The sequence below is a fragment of the Homo sapiens genome, chromosome 20 (genome assembly GCF_000001405.40).
Source record: "Homo sapiens chromosome 20, GRCh38.p14 Primary Assembly".
In the NCBI taxonomy this organism is placed as follows: domain Eukaryota; kingdom Metazoa; phylum Chordata; class Mammalia; order Primates; family Hominidae; genus Homo; species Homo sapiens.
In genome coordinates, this window is record NC_000020.11 from 33,540,223 (window position 1) to 33,560,231 (window position 20,009).

A 20,009-nucleotide genomic window follows, 5' to 3' on the forward strand; every position below is an offset into this window, starting at 1 on the left:
AGTATTTCCTTTAGGTTTACATGTATAGTCTTATGTCTTTTAACAACAGAAATATGTTCTGAGAAATGCATCATTAGGTGATGTACAAACATTATAGAGTGTACTTACACAAACCTACATAATATAGCCTACTACACACCTAGGATATATGTAAACCTGTAATAGTAGCTAACAGCATGTTACTGTACTGAATGCTGTAGGCAGTTTTAACAATGGTGTTTGTATATCTAAACATAGAAACTGTACAGTGAAAATATAGTAATCTTATGGTACCACCTTTATTGACTGAAACTTCAGCTAAAAATGATAAACCTGATTAATATGCAAAGCAGCCCTTATAACATGCTTTTTCAAAAACAGCTTAAGACTTTTCAGATTTCGTTAAGAAGTTATATGGTAACATGCTGACTAGAGAATGATTTATTGGGCTAGTTAGCATTTTAAAGTAAAGGGAATGGAAACCAGAAGATGATGCAAGGGTACTTTTATTCGTTGTGTTAAAAAGCCATAGTAAAAGCCGTAGTAATCATTCTAAACTGTTGGATGCTTCCTTAGTGCTGCGTATATAAAGTATGTTAATAAATTTGATATCTAGGGTACTTGTTAGAACCCTAACTGGCATAGCCTATAACTCCAGAATCACCATTCTAATTGTATTCTGGAGTTGTGCTCTACAGTGGTGCTATTCACATAGAATATAATGTGAAAGGTAACCCTAGAGTTGTGCAAGTAGAAGGTACTAGCTTAATGAATTTGGCTCTAATAAGTTAATAAAGTAATTTGAACATTCCTTGAGAGGTAAAGTTTAAGATGCACTGTGGGACGCTAGAAAGTAATTTGCAGGCAGCCAGGAAATCTGGTTTCTGGAACCAGTCAACTGGCACCTCACTTTCCCCATAGTACCATGGAAACTTTGATTAGATGTCTCTTCCATTGCTGATATTTTGCATTTAGGTGATGGATTGAAGTCAGGAACTAGATCTAGCATTGAGGGCACTGAAAGGTGGTTGTCATGTAGTCCAGAGGTCAAGGGTCAAGTGATTAGAAGCAGTTTGTTCAGAGGTCAAGTGATTAGAAGCAGGTTAAGCCAAAGTTAGACTCATGATTTTAGCAGGGAATGTGAATGGAAATCCATATACCCGCCCATCTCCATTGGTTGGAGACCAGCGGGTCATCTTTCTTAAATTGTATATGGGTGTATGGAAGGGATTTGAAATTGACGAGTCGTATAACTGAGTAAGGACAGAGAAGCCGGACTCTATTTTTCCATTAGGTCTAGGGCTTTCTAGTGCTTAAGATGAGTTCTTGCTCCTGCTCTGTTACTCAGGCAGTGGCTTGATTGTGGTAGACACTTATGACCTACACATTTTAGCCTAGGCTGATGCCTTTCCACAGTTATGTTCCTGGTTTGTTTGTTTGTTTTTAGTTCTTTCTCTGTCAGTTACAGGTACATTTTCCCAAATCATCTGAACTCAAAATTCTCCTAACTTTTCCATGAAGCCTTTATTGTTCTTTGCCTAGCTGGAAGAGACTTTTTCTATAATTTTTGGTACTTTTTACTTGTTACTTTTTATTATATCTTGTGTTATGCATACATTTATCCCCTACTATATTACTGAAAGCAGGGACTTTGTCTTAGTGCTACAGGTTTTTGTTTTTGTTTTTGTTTAATTTGAGACAGGGTCTTACTCTGTCACCCAGGCTGGAGTGCAGTGGCATCATCATAGCTCACTGCAGCCTCCATCTCCTGGACTGAAGTGATCCTCCCGCCTCAGCCTCCCAAAGTGCTGGGATTATAGGCATGAGCCACTACACCTAGCAGTTTTCTCAAACTTTAGTGTATAGAGGAGTCACCTGAAGAACTTATTAAAGTTTGGATTCCTGGACCCCCTATTCTGATTACTTGGTTCTGATTTAGGCCTGGGAACCTACATTTTAACAAGTTCCTCAGATGAGCTTGAGTATGTGGGCTAGAGGAACATGTGGTTTACAGCATCTAGCCTAGTACCTCGTTTTGCTCTTCTATTGCCTGAGTGGTTAAGTCAGTGATCAGTTAAAACCAATAATCATTGGTAACTCTGCTAGAAGAACCAGTCTTAACACCTGTGAGGAACTAGATCTATTTTGTTCCTGGCTACCTAGTATTTTACAGGTTTTTGTGTTTACATGAACTTTTTGTACCCTCAGTTTAAGATGCCCTTTGATTTTAGTTTTAAATTTTTTTTTATTATAATTTTTTTCATTAAGCCTCTTCCATTTTAGGATGATTTTAATTTTAAAGCTTCTGAATACTCTCTCAATTATCAATGTATATATATTGTGGACATATGCATTTGAGTTTTGTTGTTGTTTTGCCTTTAAACTTATATGTCTTATTAAAATAAACTCTACAGAAATTGCTATATTCAGTCTTTGTAGGAACTAACAGAAGAAGTCTTTCTTACTAAGTCTTTTTTTGGGGGGTTCAGGAACAGGGTCTTGCTCTGCCATGGAGGCTGGAGTGTGGTGGCACGATCTTGACTCATTGCAACCTCCTCCTCCCAGGCTCAAGTGGTCCTCCCACCTCAACCTCCCGGGAAGCTGGGACTACAGGCATATGCGGCCACACCTGACTAATTTTATGTAGTTTTGGTAGAGACAGGGTCTCCCCGTGTTGTTCAGGCTGGTCTCCTGGACTCAAACAATCTGCCTGCCTGGCCTCCCAAAGTGCTGGAATTACAGGCTTGAACCACCATGCCCGGCTATTTCTTACTAATACTTAATTTGTATTAAGTATTAGTAAGACAAATTTTTATTATTATTATTTTTTGAGACAGAGTCTTGCCCTGTCGCCCAGGCTGGAGTGCAGTGGCATGATATTGGATCACTGCAATCTCTGCCTCCCAGGTTCAAGCAGTTCTCCTGCCTCAGCCCCCTGAGTAGCTGGGATTACAGGCGCATGCCACCATGCCCGGCTAACTTTTGTGTTTGTAGTAGAGCAGGGTTTCACCATGTTGGTCAGGCTGGTCTTAACTCCTGACCTTGTGATCTGTCTGCCTCGGCCTCCCAAAGTGCTGGGATTACAGGCGTGAGCCACCGTGCCCGGCGAAAAATTATTATTTTATAGTGATACACTTTTGTATTAGATATTATAGGGAAAACCAGAATAAGTAGATACTTAAAGATTTTCTGGCGCAATGGAGTGCTGAAGACAAACACGTAAAATAGTTAACATTCAAGGCAGTTCGCAACATAGGACCAAATGAATGGTCTGCATCAATAAAAGTAAATAGTTATTAGAGTTCAAAGAAGTGGGGGAGATGAACACGTACTAGAGAACCTGGAAAGCCTCCATGGAGAAGGCAACAGGAGCTGAACTTGAAGGTGTTTTAGATTTCAGTCAGAGGAAAAGAGCGTTCTTAGAGGGAAGAACATACAAAGATTCATTTTACAATTGGAAAAAACGGAAGCTCAGAAAGGTAAAGTGAGTGTGTGCTGAGGTGCCAGTCTCCTGACCACTGCTCTGCTTTGTGCAGCATTTGGAGGTTTTTCATTGTTGCCAAGTAGAAGACAGGCAACATTATGATAACCATATTTCAAAGCACTGATAACTAAATTAAATTAAATTAATTAATTAATTTATTTATTTATTCATTTTGAGGTGGAGTCTCACTTTGTCTCCCAGGCTAGAGTGCAATCCTGTTTGTTCTACCTTGAGACTATATCCAGAATCCAGAATCCAAGTAACATCTTACCTTTACCCCTTCCATTCTTGTCCATACCACTAGCATCTCTGGCCTGGATTATTGGAGTTGCTTCCTAGTTGTTTTCCCTGTTTCCATTCTTGCCCTACCATCTGTTTTGAACATAGCAGCCAGAGTGGTTCAATTTAGTCAGGTCATGTCAATTCTCTGCTCAGAACCCTGTTAATGACTCCCATTTTACTGAAAGAGACCAAAGTTTTTCCAGTGGCTGGAAGCTATCTGTGATCTGCTTCCCTCTCCCTGCCCACTGCTTGACCTCTCAGCTCATATCCTACTACTTTTCAGCTTCAGCCACACTAACTTCTTGCAGTTCCTTGAAGACTGTAGGCCTAGTCTTGCCTCAGGACCTTTACCTAGACAATTCTTTTTTCACCTGTCCTGCTGCGGCTCATTTCTTCCCTTCTCTGCAAGGTCAACCAGGCTACCTTATTTAAAACTGTGCCCCATCTCACTTTACCAGCTTATTACCTTCTGATATACTGTATATAGTATTTATTAATTTTGTTTGTTCTTTGTCTCCTCTTGCTAGTTTCAGAGAAGACAGGGAATCTTGTCTATTTGATTTATTTTTATTTTTATTTATTTGTTTTTTATTTTTTTGAGATGGAGTCTCGCTCTGTCACCCAGGCTGGAGCGTAGTGGCGCGATCTCGGCTCACTGTAACCTCCACCTCCTGGGTTCAAGCAGTTCCCTGCCCCAGCCTCCTGAGTAGCTGGGATTACAGGCACCTGCCGCCACGCCTGTCTAATTTTTGTATTTTTAGTAGAGATGGGGTTTCACCATATTGGGCAGGCTGGTCATGAACTCCTGACCTCATGATCCCCCCGCCTCAGCCTCCCAAAATGCTGGAATTACAGGCGTGAGCCACTGTGCCCGGCCTATGTGGTTTATTGATGTATCTCCATTGCCTCAAACATGGTCAGGCATCTGATAGATGCACAATAAATATTTGTTGCATGCATGAGTGAATAGAATAGAACAGAATAGAATAGAATAGAATAGAATAGAATAGAATAGAATAGAATAGAATAGAATAGAATAGAATAGAACAGAACAGAATGCAAGGTAGACAGGCAGTCCCAACTCTCATGAAGCTTACAGTTTGTGGTTTCTTTACTCCAAATGACGTTAACCATGTTTTTCACATTTTTTGGTATGTGTAATTCAAAACCTTTGTGAAATAATAAGCATTTAAACTTTAGGAAGCAGTGTTTCTTAAAAAGAATGTGATCTTGGGGTATGTTTTGAATCAACTGAAAACTATAAAACATTAAATAGAAAAGCTGTGTGCCAGGAAAGGTGATTGCTTGATCAGTTTTTGAAAAATGCCACTAGATAATTTTTGATCTTAATTCATTCCTGTGGAACACTTAACTACAAAATTTCCTTGAAATAAAATGCAAGTTATTAGTGGGATTGTTAGTGGGATTCCCAAATGAAATGATTTTTAGCTCTCATTAAGACTCTTTCTTTCTCTTTCTTTCTTTCTTTCTTTCTTTCTTTCTTTCGTTCGTTTGTTTTCCTCTAGGCTGGAGTGCAATGGCACGATCTCGCCTCACTGCAACCTCTGCCTCCGGGTTCAAGGATTCTCCTGCCTCAGCCTCCTGAGTAGCTGGGATTACAGGCACATGCCGCCATGCCTGGCTAATTTTTTGTATTTCACTAGAGATGGGCTTCCGCCATGTTGGCCAGGCTGGTCTTGAACTCCTGACGTCAGGTTATCTGTCCCCTGTTGGCCTCCCAAAATGCTGGGATTACAGGCGTGAGCCAACATACTCAGACTTTTTCTTATCTTTTTGCAGTCTACCATAGAAAAACACAGAATTTCATTTCTGTTCATTTAAAATTCTGTGGTAGAAAATCAAATATGGAAGACTTTTGAACAAATATCCAGTGTTGAAGCAAATGTAAATAGTAGATATTATATTGATGCCAACTGAGGAAATATGATTAGACTTAGTCAATAAATGAAGCTGTTAACATAATCTGTCATGTGCCAGTTTAAATAATGAAAGCATTACTGTAGTAGGATGTTTTGTTAAATGTCCTACAAGGCCTGTATCTTTCTGTGCAAGCCTACCATGTGGTAGACACTTAATAATAGTTGATGATAATAATGCTGAATTATCTGCCTCTTAAATTTGTTTATCTGAGGGAAGAGGTGCTTATTTGTATATAAACTGCTAATTTATCTGTTAGTAACTGACATTTTTTCTTTACTTTTTCCTGAAGATTTGCAATTAATTTAATAATAGAATAAACATTTTTGTATTGTTTTTATATAGGATAAATAATGAAGCTTATAAAACCAGGCCTTAGCAGCCACACTGTAAAGACTAAAGAAAAGGACATTTTCAGTTGGTATAAATTTTCTTTTTGTTTATTTGGTGTAAATTTTGAATTTCTTCTTTTTTTTGGTCTGAAAAATTAATTTAGCTCAGCATGGCCTATCTGGATATACTTTTTTTTTTTTTTTTTCTTGGAGACACACTCTCTCTGTCATCCAGGCTGGAGTGTAGTAGCAGCCAGGATCACGGCTCACTGCAACCTTTACCTGCTCAGCTCTAGCAATCCTTCCACCTCAGCCTCCCAAGTACTCTGCAGGCATATGTTCCACAGGCACCTGCCACCATGCCTGGCTAATTTTTTTTTTTTAATTTTTTGTAGTGGATACAATTTTTATTTTTTGTAGAGATTTATTTTTTGTATTTTTTTATAGAGGTCTCCCTCTGTTTCCCAGGCTGGTCTTGAGCTCCTGGGGTCAAGTGATCCACCTGCCTCAGCTTCCTAAAGTGTTGGGATTACAGGCGTGAGCCACTGTGCCTGGCCTGGGTGTTTTCTTTACAATTGAGTTTACCATTTGTAGCAGCAAAAGAAAAGAAAAATAACTCCACATTACCTCTCTGTTTAGTTTCATTTCGGAGCCAGAGTTTGTTAAAAGTGTGAAATACTGTGCCAGGCTCAGTGGCTCATGCCTGTAATCCCAGCATTTTGGGAGGCCGAGGCGGGTGAATCATCTGAGGTCAGGAGTTCGAGACCAGCCTGACCAGCATGGTGAAGCCCCAACTCTACTAAAAATACAAAAATTAGCCAGGCATGGGGTACACATCTGTAGTCCCAGCTACTCAGGAGGCTGAGGCAGGAGAATTGCTTGAACCCAGGAGGCAGAGGTTGCAGTGAGCCGAGATTGTGCAGTTGCACTCTAGCCTGGGCAACAGGGCGAGACTCCGTCTCAAAAAGAAAAAAATAAAAAAGACCGGAAATAAAAAGTCTGCTTGGGACCAAGCATGGAAGATTATGCCTGTAATCCCAGCTATACCTTTGAAGCTGAGTCGGGAGGATGACTTGGACCCAGGAGTTCAAGGCTGCAATGAACTATGATTGGGTCACAGCACTCCAGCCTGGGTAACACATCTCTGAGAAATAAAAAATTTAAAAATAAAAATATAATAAAATGGCCAGTGCTGTTGCTCATGCCTGTAATCCCAGCACTTTGGGAGGCTTAGGCAGGTGGATAGCTTGAGTCTAGGAGTTTGAGACCCCATCTCTACAAAAAACTGCAAAAAATTAACCAGGCATGGTGACATGCACCTGTAGTCCTGCTACTCAGAAGGCTGAGGTGGGAGGATCACTTGAGGTGAGGAGGTCAAGACTGCAGTGAGCTATGATTGCACCCCTGCACTCCAGCTTGGGCAACAGAGCGAGACCCTGTCTCAAAAAAATGTGTGTGTGTGTGTGTGTGTGTGTGTGTGTGTGTGTGTGTGTAAGTAAAATTAAAAGTCTGCCTGGCAGAAAATTAGGTGTATATTATAAAAATCTGTATAGGCACTCCCAGTATTTTGAATGAAGGCATGTCAACAAAACTAGATGTAAAAACCTCTCTGTGAAGTGAACATTATTTCGTTACTAATTTTTATTTATAAAACCAGAAATACTTTACTGAGGGGTAAGGCAGTTACACTTGTTTTTTGTTTTGTTTTCTTTTCTTTTTGTGGAGAATGGGGTCTTGCTGTATTGCAGGTTTTGAACTCCTGGGCTCAAGCGATCCTTCCACCTCTGCCTCCTTAAGTGCTGGGATTACAGGCATGAGCCACTGGACGATACCTGGCCTGAGGTGTAGGAAGAAGAAATAATTCCAGTATATAAAGTTGGAAATTATACAAAGAAGGCAGGATCTCTAGATTATTCTGCTTGTCTTATAATTGCTGGGCCTCTAATTAATTTTTAGCATTCACCTGTAGGTTTCCTTTTATTTTGAGTACTGGGAGTTTTTATTTTTATTTTTTTTATTTTTTTTTTGAGATGGAGTCTACTCTGTCGCCCAGGCTGGATTGCAGTCACGCAATCGGCTCACTGCAACCTCTGCCTCCCAGGTTCAAGTGATTCTCCTCCCTCAGCCTCCCAGGTAGCTAGGATTACAGGTGCCCACCACCGCACCTGGCTAATTTTTGTAATTTTAGTAGAGATGGGGTTTCACCATGTTGGCCAGGCTGGTCTCGAACTCCTGACCTCAGGTGATCTGCCTGCCTCCGCCTCCCAAAGTGCTGGGATTACAAGCATGAGCCACCGTGCCTGGCCTGATTTCTTAATTAGTTGTGTAGTCTTTGGACTTAGTTTCCTGTGGGTTCAGCAATAAGTATAGTTATCTTAATAAAACTCATATTTTAGGCTTTTCAACCTCAGATTTTCTGCATATATCAAAATAAATTCTGGGCTGGGTACAGTGGCTCACATCTGTAATCCCAGCACTTTGGGAGGCCAAAATGGGGAGATTGAGGCCAGGAGTTGAAGACCAGTGTGGGCAACATAGTGAAACCCTGTGTCTACCCTTCCCCCGAAAAAAAGCCAGACATGGTGGCATTCTTCTGGAGTTGCCGCTACTCAGGAGGCTGAAGCAGGAAGATCACTTGAGCCCATAAGTTTGAGGTTGCAGTGAGCTATGATTCCCTCCTTTGCACTTCAGCCCCATCCTGGATGATAGAGCAAGACCCTGTCCATCTGTCCATCCGTCCATCCATCCATCCATCCATCCATCCATCCGTATTCATTCATTGTACTTAAGAATGAGCTATATAAAAGTGAAACCACGGGAGTTCTAGAAGAACATATAGGTGCATATTCTTATAATCTGGGACGAGGAAAATCTAAACATGATATTAATATTAGTTGACAAACTACTGATGAGAGCATAATGTCAGAATAATCGAAAAATTATTAAAAACTATTTGGTTAGGGCAGAATTTCTGGAATGTTGGATTAAGGTGCTTGGGAAATCCTCCCTCCATAAAGCAGATAAAACTGGACAAATTTATAAAAAAAAAAAATCAACCATTTTGAACTTGTGTAGATTGTTCCCAGCAGCATTACTAAATAGCCAAAAATTGGAAACAATCCAAATGCCCATTAACTGGTGAATAGATAAGCATAATGTGTATTCATCAGTAGAATACTACTCAGCAGTAAAAAGGAGTGAATCTTGATACATGGTACAGCATGAAGCTCAGAAATATTTTGCTAAATTAAAGAAGCCACAAAAGATGACATATCCTTTCATTTATGTGAAATGTCCAGGAATAGCGAATTTATAGGGACAGTGAAAGCAAGATTAGTAGTGGTTGTCTAGGGCTGTAAAGGGACATGAGGGATCTTTTAGGGGTGATGAAAATGTTCTAAAATGGAATTGTGATGATCGTACAACTGTAAATTTACTAAAAATCATTGACTTGTACACTGAAAATAGGCAAATTTTATGGTCTGTATATTATACCTCAATAAAACTTATTTAAAATGTTGGCAGGGGCAGAGGGACAACAGGTTTTTTCCCCTGCTGCAAAGGAGTAGTCCAAGTACAGCACATGTCTGCAGATGGCATTTATGTATAATAGATGGCTGCTGCTTTTTTTTTTTTTTTTTTTTCTCTAAATCAGGTGTCCTGAGAGATTGGGACCAAGAGGGAGATAGAACACTGGCAGTTGGGGTTCATGTTAGGGTTTCAGACACATCAAAGACAGCATCCTTCTTTGTTTTAAGTTTATAAAATAGGGTTCAATAAATACCTGTCTTATAGAATTTGGACAGTTTTTTCCACATAAAGCCTTCCAGAAGATACTAAGAGCTATAGATTTTAATAACTTAACAAATGTAATAACGTTCTACATTGTCTTTGCAAATAGGTGTATACCCCAAGTATGAATGATACCTTATTTTGGATGGGACAGGATGGTGAAAATGGCCACGATGTTTGGAAAAACCAGTTCAGGGGCAATAATTTTTAATACTTATTAGCAAAGTAGTCTTGAAATTATTAATTTTTTGTCAAAATCCTCCCATTAAAAAATTCTTGAAGACAGCATAATTTGATTTGAATACATCACATTTAATAGAAATTTAATTCACCCTTTCAGACTTTAACTCCCCTCCCCCTATTTTAATTAAATGGAGGGATTGGCTTGGATTCTTTCTAAGCTAATGCTTTGTGGTTTGATCCTGTTAAATTTATTTTTTAAACAAACAGCATATTTTAATTTATTTACCCAACAAATAAGCATTAAACATGTTAATCAAGACACACCACCTGTCCTCAGAGAACAGTAATGGGTACATTTGGTCAACAAATAACTCAAAGTCTGAAGTACTAATGTGGTTATTTATTTATTTATTTATTTATTTATGTAGAGATGGAGTTTCGCTGTTTTCGCCCAGGCTGGAGTGAAGTGGTGCGCTGTTAGCTCGCTGCAACCTCCGCTCCCGGGTTCAAGCAATTCTCCTGCCTCAGCTTCCCTAGTAGCTGGGATTACAGGTTCGTACCACCACACCTGGCTAATTTTTGTATTTTTATTAGAGACGGGGTTTCACCACCTTGCCCAGGCTGGTCTCCAACTCCTGACCTCAGGTGATCCGTCCCCTCTCGGCTTCCCAAAGTGCTGGGATTACAAGCGTGAGCCACCACGCTTGGCCTTGATGTGGTCTTATCTGCTGTCAAGCTACATGAGTTGGAAGCTACATGAGTTGGGGTGGAGAGTTGTCAATGCTGTTTCAGGAATCATTGCTCCTAAAGGGGAGCCATAAGTCTTTAAGTATGGATAGTTTTCCAGGTGAAGAGCTCATTCGACGGAAGTGTTCATAGTGAAAGAAGGAAATCAGTTGGTGGTCTCATTTGAGTAGAGTAACTGTATATCCCTTACTTAAAATATACAATTAACTGTTGGTTTATTCCAGCAAGTGAAATTTTTGACTTCCATTTATTTTCTGTGCTTTTTTTTTTTTTTGAGATGGAGTTTCGCTGTTGTCGCCCAGGCTGGAGTGCAATGGCGTAATCTCGGCTCACTGCAACCTCAGCCTCCTGGGTTCAAGTGATTCTCCTGCCTCAGCCTCCCAAGTAGCTGGAATTACAGGCATGCACCACCACGCCCAGCTAATTTTGTATTTTTAGTAGAGACGGGGTTTCTCCATGTTAGTCAGGCTGGTCTCGAACTCCCGACCTCAGGTGATCTGCCTGCCTTGGCCTCCCAAAGTGCTGGGATTACAGGTGTGAGCCACCACACCCAGCTCTGTGCTTTTGTTCCATCAATGTTTTGTTGTTGTTGATTGATTCTCTCTCTGTCACCCAGTCTGGAGTGCAGTGGTGTGATCTCAGCTCATTGCAACCTCCACTTCCTGGGTTAAAGCAATTCTTGTGCCTCAGTCTCCCATCGTAGCTGGGATTACAGGCGTGTGTCACCACGCCCGGCTAATTTTTGTATTTTTAGTAGAGACGGGGTTTCACCATATTGGCCAGGCTGGTCTTGAACTCCTGACCTCAAGAAATCCGCCCACCTTGGCTTCCCAAAGTGCTGGGATTACAGGTGTGAGTCACTTCTCCTGGCCTGTTCCATCAACTTTTAAAAATCTTCTATCACTATTAAGTTTAATTCTTGATTTTTTTTTCCTTTTTCTCTTCTTGCCCTCCCTGCCCTTTTTTTTTCTGCTTACGTAAAATTCTTGATTTTAAATGATGGTCCACAGCTGCTGTAGTCTGACTTGTGTCCCATAAGGGCTGATGACTCAAACATCAGAATTGTTGTTCAGTTTTAATTTTCAAGATCACTTTTGAGTTTGATTGCTTCCCTGGTTTTTTTTTTTTTTTAAGTTGACAAAATTTTTTCCAAGCTTTGTAATGCTCAGTGTGTGAAGCAAATACACAACCATTTATGAAGTCTTTAATAACTAATAAAACTGGAATCTACACATTGTCATATAAATTGGAAAATTAGAATATCTTGTTTGTGGAGAGCATTTTCAGGTTATTTGACTTAACAATGATGTTATGAGACTACATGGAAGAATAATTGGATCTTGAGCTGTTTAAACATGTGCTAAATAGAAAGAAACAAAGCTTCAGAGGACCTCAGGTGACACCTGGTCCTGTCTTCTGATTTTTGACAGATGAGAGTTTTAGGGATTTAGATAATTGGCTTAGTAATTGAATCAGTGAAACAGCTACTCCAGGCTCTTTCTGCTGAATTGTAAGGGGAAATCAGTGTCTCTTGAAATGTTTGCTGTAAAAAAAAGGAAGACACTATTTTCTGATCAGTTGTACATTTCAAATTCTAAACATTTTTTTGAGCATTGTTAAACACTGTCAAGCCGTGTGGATGTGAAGGTGAATAAGACAGAATAGTGAATAAGATAGCCTTTGTTGTCACAGGAGTTTGCAAGATTATCTAACATTTAGGAAGTGAGACAAATGGGCTTATGCTGTCCCCTGCACCCCAGCAAATGTGTGAAATGTCCCCTTGCTTGTCACTCCACTTCATCGTCCTTCTGCACGTTTAATGCTGTCCATACATGCTGACTTCCTCCTGCTTCTTTCTGCTAGTCATACCTTTTACCATCTCAGGGTTCCTATATTATTCTGTTCCCTCTGCCTGAAATACTTCTGAATATTCTTCATCTCCACCCCATCCCCCTTTTTAACCTGATCTACTTCTCCTCTGTCAAATTTCATTTCATCAGAGATTATGTCTATATAGCACACCCCTTAACTCTAGTCCCTGCTGTGAAGCTCATAGTTCTGGTTTTTTTCTTTATAGCACTTAGTATATATTATTATGTTTGTTTGTATGATAATTACATTACTTTTCTCAATAGACTGTAAGCTCCCTGAGAGCAGAGACTATTTTTCTTTACTGTGTCTCCTGCACTTAGTGTAACCTCAGTAGGTGTTTGAGTATTAGAACTTTTTTTTGTAAAGCTACGTTGTTGCTATAAATCAGAGTTTAGTTTATGTTTTTTGTTTTAGAGGGAGTTTCACTCTGTTACCCAGGCGGGAGTGCAATGGTGCACAGTCTTGGCTCACTGCAGCCTCCACCTCCCGGGTTCAAGCAGTTCTCCTGTCTCAGCCTCCCGAGTAGCTGGGACTACAGGTGCACGCCACTACGCCTGGCTAATTTTTTGTGTGTATTTTTAGTAGAGACATGGTTTCACCATATTGGTCAGGCTGGTCTCGAACTCCTGACCTCAAGTAATCTACCAGCCTCAGCCTCCCAAAGTGCTGGGATTACAGGCGTGAGCCACCATGCCCAGCCAGAGTTTAGTTTTTTGTAAAGGGTCATATAGTGACCGTTTTTGGCTTTGTGGGCCACACGATCTCTGTCCCAACCCTGCTAATGCGGCAGGAAAGCAGCCATAGATAGACAATATGTAAAGGAATGGGCATGGTCCTTTTCCAGTGAAACTTTGTTTACTAAAACGCTAAGCAGGCTATAAGTTTGCTGACTTCTACTATAAATCATCATCCCCTGATCTTGTTGGACTTGAAAGCCCTTGTTATGCAATCTTGCAAATCCCCTCTTAGGGTTTTTTGAAAAATGATTTTATTTTTGTATGGTAGATGTTAAAGAGGTGATTTTTAAAAAGTCTGATCTTAAAGTAATGTAAAATACAATCTTAAATATATTAATTATATATTTTTAGTTTCTCCAGTTTACTAGTAGGCATATGCTTTTGTTAACTTTACATTTGTATTTAAGTAAAACATGATTCTTGATATTGATGTTAAAATAAAAAGATTGGTTTGGTTTTGGGATAGATTAAAATGTAGATTGAAATTTTACAATGCGTTTCATTTTCAAAAAAGACTATTTTTGCAACCTGATGCTTGAAATACCATATAATATTATTTTGTTCTTAAGTGACAGATGAAGAAACATTCCAGGTTGCTGTTTGCAGAACTTCTGTGCAAGTAAGGAGTTATTACAATGAAAAGCAAATTCACTATAAGCACCAGTGTTTATTTTTCTTACTTTTTTCTTTTTTTTTTTTTTTTTCAGACAGTGTTGCTCTGTCACCCAAGCTGGAGTGCAGAGGCATGATCTCAGCTCACTGCAGCCTTCGCCTCCTGGGTTCAAGTGATTCTCCTGCCTCAGTCTCCTGAGTGGGATTACAGGCTTGTGCCACCTGGCCCAGCTAGGTTTTGTATTTTTAGTAGAGACGGGGTTTCACCATGTTGACCAGGCTGTTCTCGAACTCCTGACCTCAAGTGATCTGCCCACCTCAGCCTCCTAAATTGCTGGGGTTACAGGGGTGAGCCACTGCGCCCGGCCTATTTTTCTTTTTTCTTTTCTTTTCTTTTCTTTCCTTTTCCTTTTTCTTTTCTTTTTTTTTTTTTTTTTTTTTTTGAGATGGAGTTTCGCTTTTGTTGTCCAGGTTGGAGTGCAGTGGAGTGATCTCAGCCTCCCAAATTGCTGGGGTTACAGGTGTGAGCCACTGCGCCTGGCTGTTTTTCTTTTTTAACGTTGTTTGAAAGTCTAGAATCATTTTTATGTGCTAGATGAGAGATTTGATCTGATAAATCAAACTCAGATGTCTGCATCTCAAGTGTATTTGTAGAATTATTTTTCTGTTTTCTATTAATTTAGATTGAATGTCAGAGTACCCATTATAGGTATTAAAATGAATATTACATAAGAAAAAATAACAACTTAAAAATGTTCAGAATTGTTTAAATAAAAACTTTAGACAGACATTTAGCAGAATTTAGGTGAGCATTAAAGGATTCAGGCAGCATTCAAAACTGGAAGAAGTTCAGAGAGCTCTGCTTTAGAAGCAGGCTTTTATAGGCTGAACGCTGTAGCAAAGTAAAGGAATTACTTGATTGGCTGTAGCTAGGCACTTGCCTTATTTGGATATGATCCAGTGGAAAGTCCCTAGTTAGAGGTTTGTTTTTGATTGGTTAAGCTTAAGTTTCATTTTATGTTTACATTGGGCTTCAGTTTGCTTACTAGGCACTGGAGCCAGCTGTCTCAGCCTAATGGCTGCCCAATTTAAAAAAAAAAAAACATTAAAATGGCATGTAGTTGTCATCATCAGAGTAAGAAACCAAAGAAGAGACCGTCATGAATGGGATCATTAGATCATGGACTGACACACATGTTCACTTAATACCCACAAGAGTGTCTTCACACTTTTTTGTCATGGATGGGACTTGTTTTCTGTTTTTTGTTTTGTTTTGTTTTTGATACAGTAAAATACTTAGGAGTTCTTGCAACTTTCTATAAGTTGTTTACATTTTACTCCAATTGCTTTATCATTGTGTGTATTTTGGAGGTACAGTTTTTTTCCTGAACCACTCTGAAAGTGGAAATATGCCCTTTTATCCCTAAATACTTAAATGCATATTTCCTGAAATCAAAGGCATTTTCTTACATAACCACACATAACCACAGTACAATTATCAAAATCAGAAAATGTAATAATGATACCATACTATTAACCTGATTCACAGACTATATTCAGGTTTTATAAATTATTTCAATAATGTCTTTTATAGCTCTTATACCTCAATCCAATTCAGTCTGTCATCACACACTGAATTTAACTGGCATGTCTCTTTCTTCCTTGCCTTTCCCCTTTCCTCTTTCCTTTTTTCTTCTTTCTTAGAGACAGGGTCTCATTCTGGTGCCCAGGCTAGGGTGCAGTGGTGCAATAATGGCTCACTGCAGCCTTGACCTCCTGGACTCAGGCAATCCCCCAACCTCAGCCTCCTGAATACTTGGGAATATAGGCACATGCCATTATGCCTGGCTAATTTTTTTTACTTTTTGTAGAGATGGAGTCTCACTACGTTGCTCCGGCTGGTCTCGAACTCCTTACCTTAAGTAAGCCACCTTCCTTGGCCTCCCAAAGTTTTGGGATTACAAATGTGAGCCACTGCGGCTCTTTAATTTTTCTTATTCTAAAACAGTTCTTCAGCCTGCCTGCCTCCTCTTCTCCCCTCCTGGTACTTTTCTTTTCTTGACCATTCCAATTTTGAATACAGACCAGTTGTTCTGTACTTAGTTTGGGTTTCGTTGCCGTTACCTTATGATTACATTAATGTTACGAATTTCAGGCTGGAATACTATAGAAGGGATGTATTCTCCTTAATGCCTCATTTAAGGAGGCACATAATCAGTGTGTCTCAATATTAGTGATTGGTTAATCATTGTATTAAGGTCATGTCTGCCAGGTTACTCCACTGCAAAAATTACTATCCTCTTTGTGATTAATAAGTAATTTGTTGGGTATATTTAGAGATGATGAAGTTGTCCTGTTTTTCATTAGTTTTCTATTCACTAGTAGTCTCAGCATCTAGTGGTGATTTTCTTTTTTCTAATTTTTAATTTTTTTTTGTAGAGACAAGGTCTCACTATGTTGCCCAAGCAGATTTTGAACTCCTGGCCTAAAGTGATTGTTCCACCTTGACCTCCCAGAGTGCTGACATTATAAGCATGAGCAGCTGCACCCTACTAGTGGTAATTTTCTAATTCCATCATTGTTTCTGCATTTACATATTGGCATTCTAATGAAGGAATGCTTTCCTTTCTTCCTTGTTGATTGGTTAAAAAAATTAAATATGGATTATGCTCTAATCCATTACTATCATTATTTATTTTGATGCTTAAATTGTTGCACAATTCCAGTGGTAGTCCCTTCTAACTGGCTTTAGTGTTCTTTTGACATACCCCTGTCATTTTTGAGCAGTCTCTTACTTTCTTGCCCAAGGTGTTGCATGCTTATCTTTTTTTTTTTTTTTTTTTTTTTTTTTTGAGACAGAGCCTCACTCTGTTGCCCCGGCTGGAGTGCAATGGCATGGTCTTGGCTCACTGCAACCTCCGCCTCCTGGGTTCAAGGGATTCTTCTGCCTCAGCCTCCCAAGTAGCTTGGATTACAGGTGCCTACCACCACGCCTGGCTAATTTTTGTATTTTTAGTAGAGACGGGTTTTCACCATGTTGGCCAGGCTGGTCTCGAACTGCTGACCTTGTGATCCGCCTGCCTTGGCCTCCCAAAGTGCTGGGATTACAGGCGTGAGCCACTGCGCCCAGCTGTGTGCTTATCTTTTACTTTCCCTGCCCTACCAGAGATCAGCTATTTCTCCAAGGATCCTTGGTTTTAGTAGAAAATGTAGTTTAGAAATCAAGATCTGGGTGTTCATTTATAGAAGGGGTCATTGCTTCTAGAACCTCTCAGCAAACAGCTAGGAAGTGTATGTATGAAAGTGTGTTTGCGTGTGTATTTCTATGTCTATATATTTTTTGAGAGACAGGGTCTCACTCTGTCACCCAGGGTGAAGTGCAGTGGTGGGATCATAGTTCACTGCAGCCTCAAACTCCTGGTGTCAAGCAATACTCCCACCTCAGCCTCTCAGGTAGCTAGGACTGCGGGCATGCCCCAACACGCCTGGCTAATTTTGTAATTTTTTGTAGAAATGGGATCTTGGTATGTTGCCCAAGCTGGTCTCAAACTCCTGGCCTCAAGTGATCCTTCCACCTTGGCCTCTCAAAGTGTTGGGATTACAGGCGTGAACCACTGTGCCCAGCCACATTTAGGTCTTTTATTTCTCTCTCTTTTTTTTTTTTTCTGTTTTGAGACAAAAATCTTGCTCTGTCGCCCAAGCTAAAGTGCAGTGGCGCGATCTCGGCTCACCGCAACCTCCGCCTACTGGGTTCAAGTGATTCTTCTGCCTAAGCCTCCCAAGTAGCTGGGATTTCAGGTGCCAGCCACTACGCCTGGCTAAATTTTTAGTAGAGACGGGGTTTCACCATGTTGGCCAGGCTGGTCTTGAGTTCTTGACCTCGTGATCCACTCGTCTCGGCCTTCCAAAGTGCTGGGATTACAGGTGTGAGCCACTGCGCCTGGGCGCGCTCTCTCTTTTTTTTTTTTTTTGAGACTCTGTCTCACTCTCGCTCAGGCTGGAGTGCAGTGGTGCGATCATGGCTCACTGCAACCTCCGCCTCCCAAATTCAAGCGATTCTCCTGCCTCGGCCACCAGAGTAGCTGGGATTACAGGAGTGCGCCATCTTGCCCAGCTAATTTTTGTGGTTTTAGTAGAGATGAGGCTTCACCATGTTGGCCAGGCTGGTCTCAAAACTCCTGGCCTCAAGTGAGACATCTTCCTCAATCTCCCAAGGCGCTGGGACTATAGGTGTGAGCTGCTGTGCCAGGCCCTTATTTCTCTTTTAATGTATAGGTTCTGCTCCTAACTCCCTCCATCTCCCTTTTTTTCCTTAAGAATCTGGATTGCTTGGACTATAAAGTTTTCCACATTCTCGACTTTGCTAATTGCATCATCATCTTGCCATTAACATGTTCCTGTGTCCCCTCAATGTTTTATAAATTTGCTCAATCGTATTGTTTTACTTTTTTTTTGGGTAAAGCATGATTCATTAGGAGGCATATTAATTTCCAGGTGTCTCTCGTTTTATAATAGTGGCAATTGGTGATCATTAGATTCATTTTTTCATTAGGGATTTGCAAAATGATGATATTCCAGATATATTATTTTGTCATTTACTAGTTGGATTATTTCAATAGAGATCAATTTTTCGCCAACTGTTTGGGGGGGCGGCGATTCTTGAATCTTTATTTTAGATTCGGGTACATGTGCAGCTTTGTTACATGGATGTATTGCATAGTGGTGAGGTTTGTGCTCCTAGTTAGCCTATCATCGAAATAATGAACATTGAACCCAACACTTTTCTCCAACTATTTGTTTAACTAGATGTACAGTTCATATAGGAAAGACAGATGAAATGCTTGATTCATCAGATTTTAGAATGAGTTTGGTTCTCTAGTATTCTCTGAAAGATAAGTAATCAATTAGTTTTTTTAAATAGGTATTATTATGAACTCATGATTTAAACATTTTATTGTGTTTCAATCAATTGCAGCTTCTTTTTTTCCTTTCTTTTTTTTTTTTTTTTTTTTTCTGAGATGGAGTGTCACTCTGTCACCCAGGCTGGAGTACAATGGGGCAATCTTGGCTCCAACCTCTGCCTTCCTGGTTCAAGCGATTCTCCTGCCTCAGACTCCTGAGTAGCTGGAACTATAGGCATGTGCCAGCATGCCTGGCTAATTTTTGTATTTTTAGTAGAGAGAGAGTTTCACTATCTTGGCCAGGCTGGTCTGGAACTCCTGACCTGAGGCGATCTGCCCACTTCAGCCTCCCAAGGTGCTGGGATTACAGGTGTGATCCACCACTCCTGGCCCAATTGTGATTTTTGTTGTTGTTGTTGTTGTTGAGACAGGGTCTTCCTCTGTCACCAGCCTGGAGTGCAGTGGCATGATCTTGGCTCACTGTAACCTCTGCATCCTGGGTTCAAGCCATTCTCCTGGCTCAGCCTCCCAAGTAGCTTGGATTACAGGCGCCCACCACCACACCCAGCTAATTTTTGTATTTTTTAGTAGAGGCGGGGTTTCACCGTGTTGGCTAGGATGGTCTTGATCTCCTGACCTTGTGATCCACCCACCTTGGCCTCCTAAAGTGCTGGGATTACAGGCGTGAGCCATTGCGCCTGGCCAATTGTGGTCATTTTTTATTGCTCCTCAAATTACCCCATCTTTGTTAGTGGGAGCCTCTTCACATTAACTCTCTCTGAGTCCTTGGGACATAACTCCAGAAGTGATTGATGGCCTGATTGCTTTCTGTTATGACAAGTTTTGTACATTTTCTGCCCTATACCTGGAGTTGACTATTTTCCTGAAGAGCTCTGCTTCCTTTTATTGGAAAATGCTATTTAGGATCCATAATCTGAGTGCTAGAAGTGAAAGACCCACCTTGTTTTCCTTTTTAAATAACAGTATTTATCACCTCACATGGTTTGTATGGGTCATAATTCTGAGGTGCCTTAGTTCGATGGTAGTGGCTTGGTGTCTGCTGTCAAGATGGCTTACTTACATTGTAGGCAATTTGATACCGGCTATTGGCAAGATGTCTCAGTCTCTCCCCATGTGGAAGGCTCTTAGG

At 40.3% G+C, this 20,009-nt stretch overlaps 1 protein-coding gene across 1 annotated transcript in view, besides 2 other annotated features; it reads left to right on the top strand.

Moving 5' to 3' along the window:
• Positions 1 to 20,009, top strand: part of CBFA2T2 (CBFA2/RUNX1 partner transcriptional co-repressor 2) — a 159,935-nt gene that overhangs the window by 50,127 nt on the left and 89,799 nt on the right. The window lies entirely within an intron of this gene.
• Positions 14,958 to 15,117: an enhancer, noted in NCBI's record as "active region_17735". NCBI's record gives its function as "activates an Ori minimal core promoter by ATAC-STARR-seq in GM12878 lymphoblastoid cells {active_cell/tissue: GM12878}" and the evidence as "EXISTENCE:reporter gene assay evidence [ECO:0000049][PMID:35858748]".
• Positions 16,863 to 17,518: an enhancer, noted in NCBI's record as "H3K27ac hESC enhancer chr20:32144891-32145546 (GRCh37/hg19 assembly coordinates)". NCBI's record gives its function as "activates a minimal SCP1, AML or CMV promoter by ChIP-STARR-seq in naive H9 embryonic stem cells {active_cell/tissue: H9 hESC(naive)}" and the evidence as "EXISTENCE:reporter gene assay evidence [ECO:0000049][PMID:30033119]".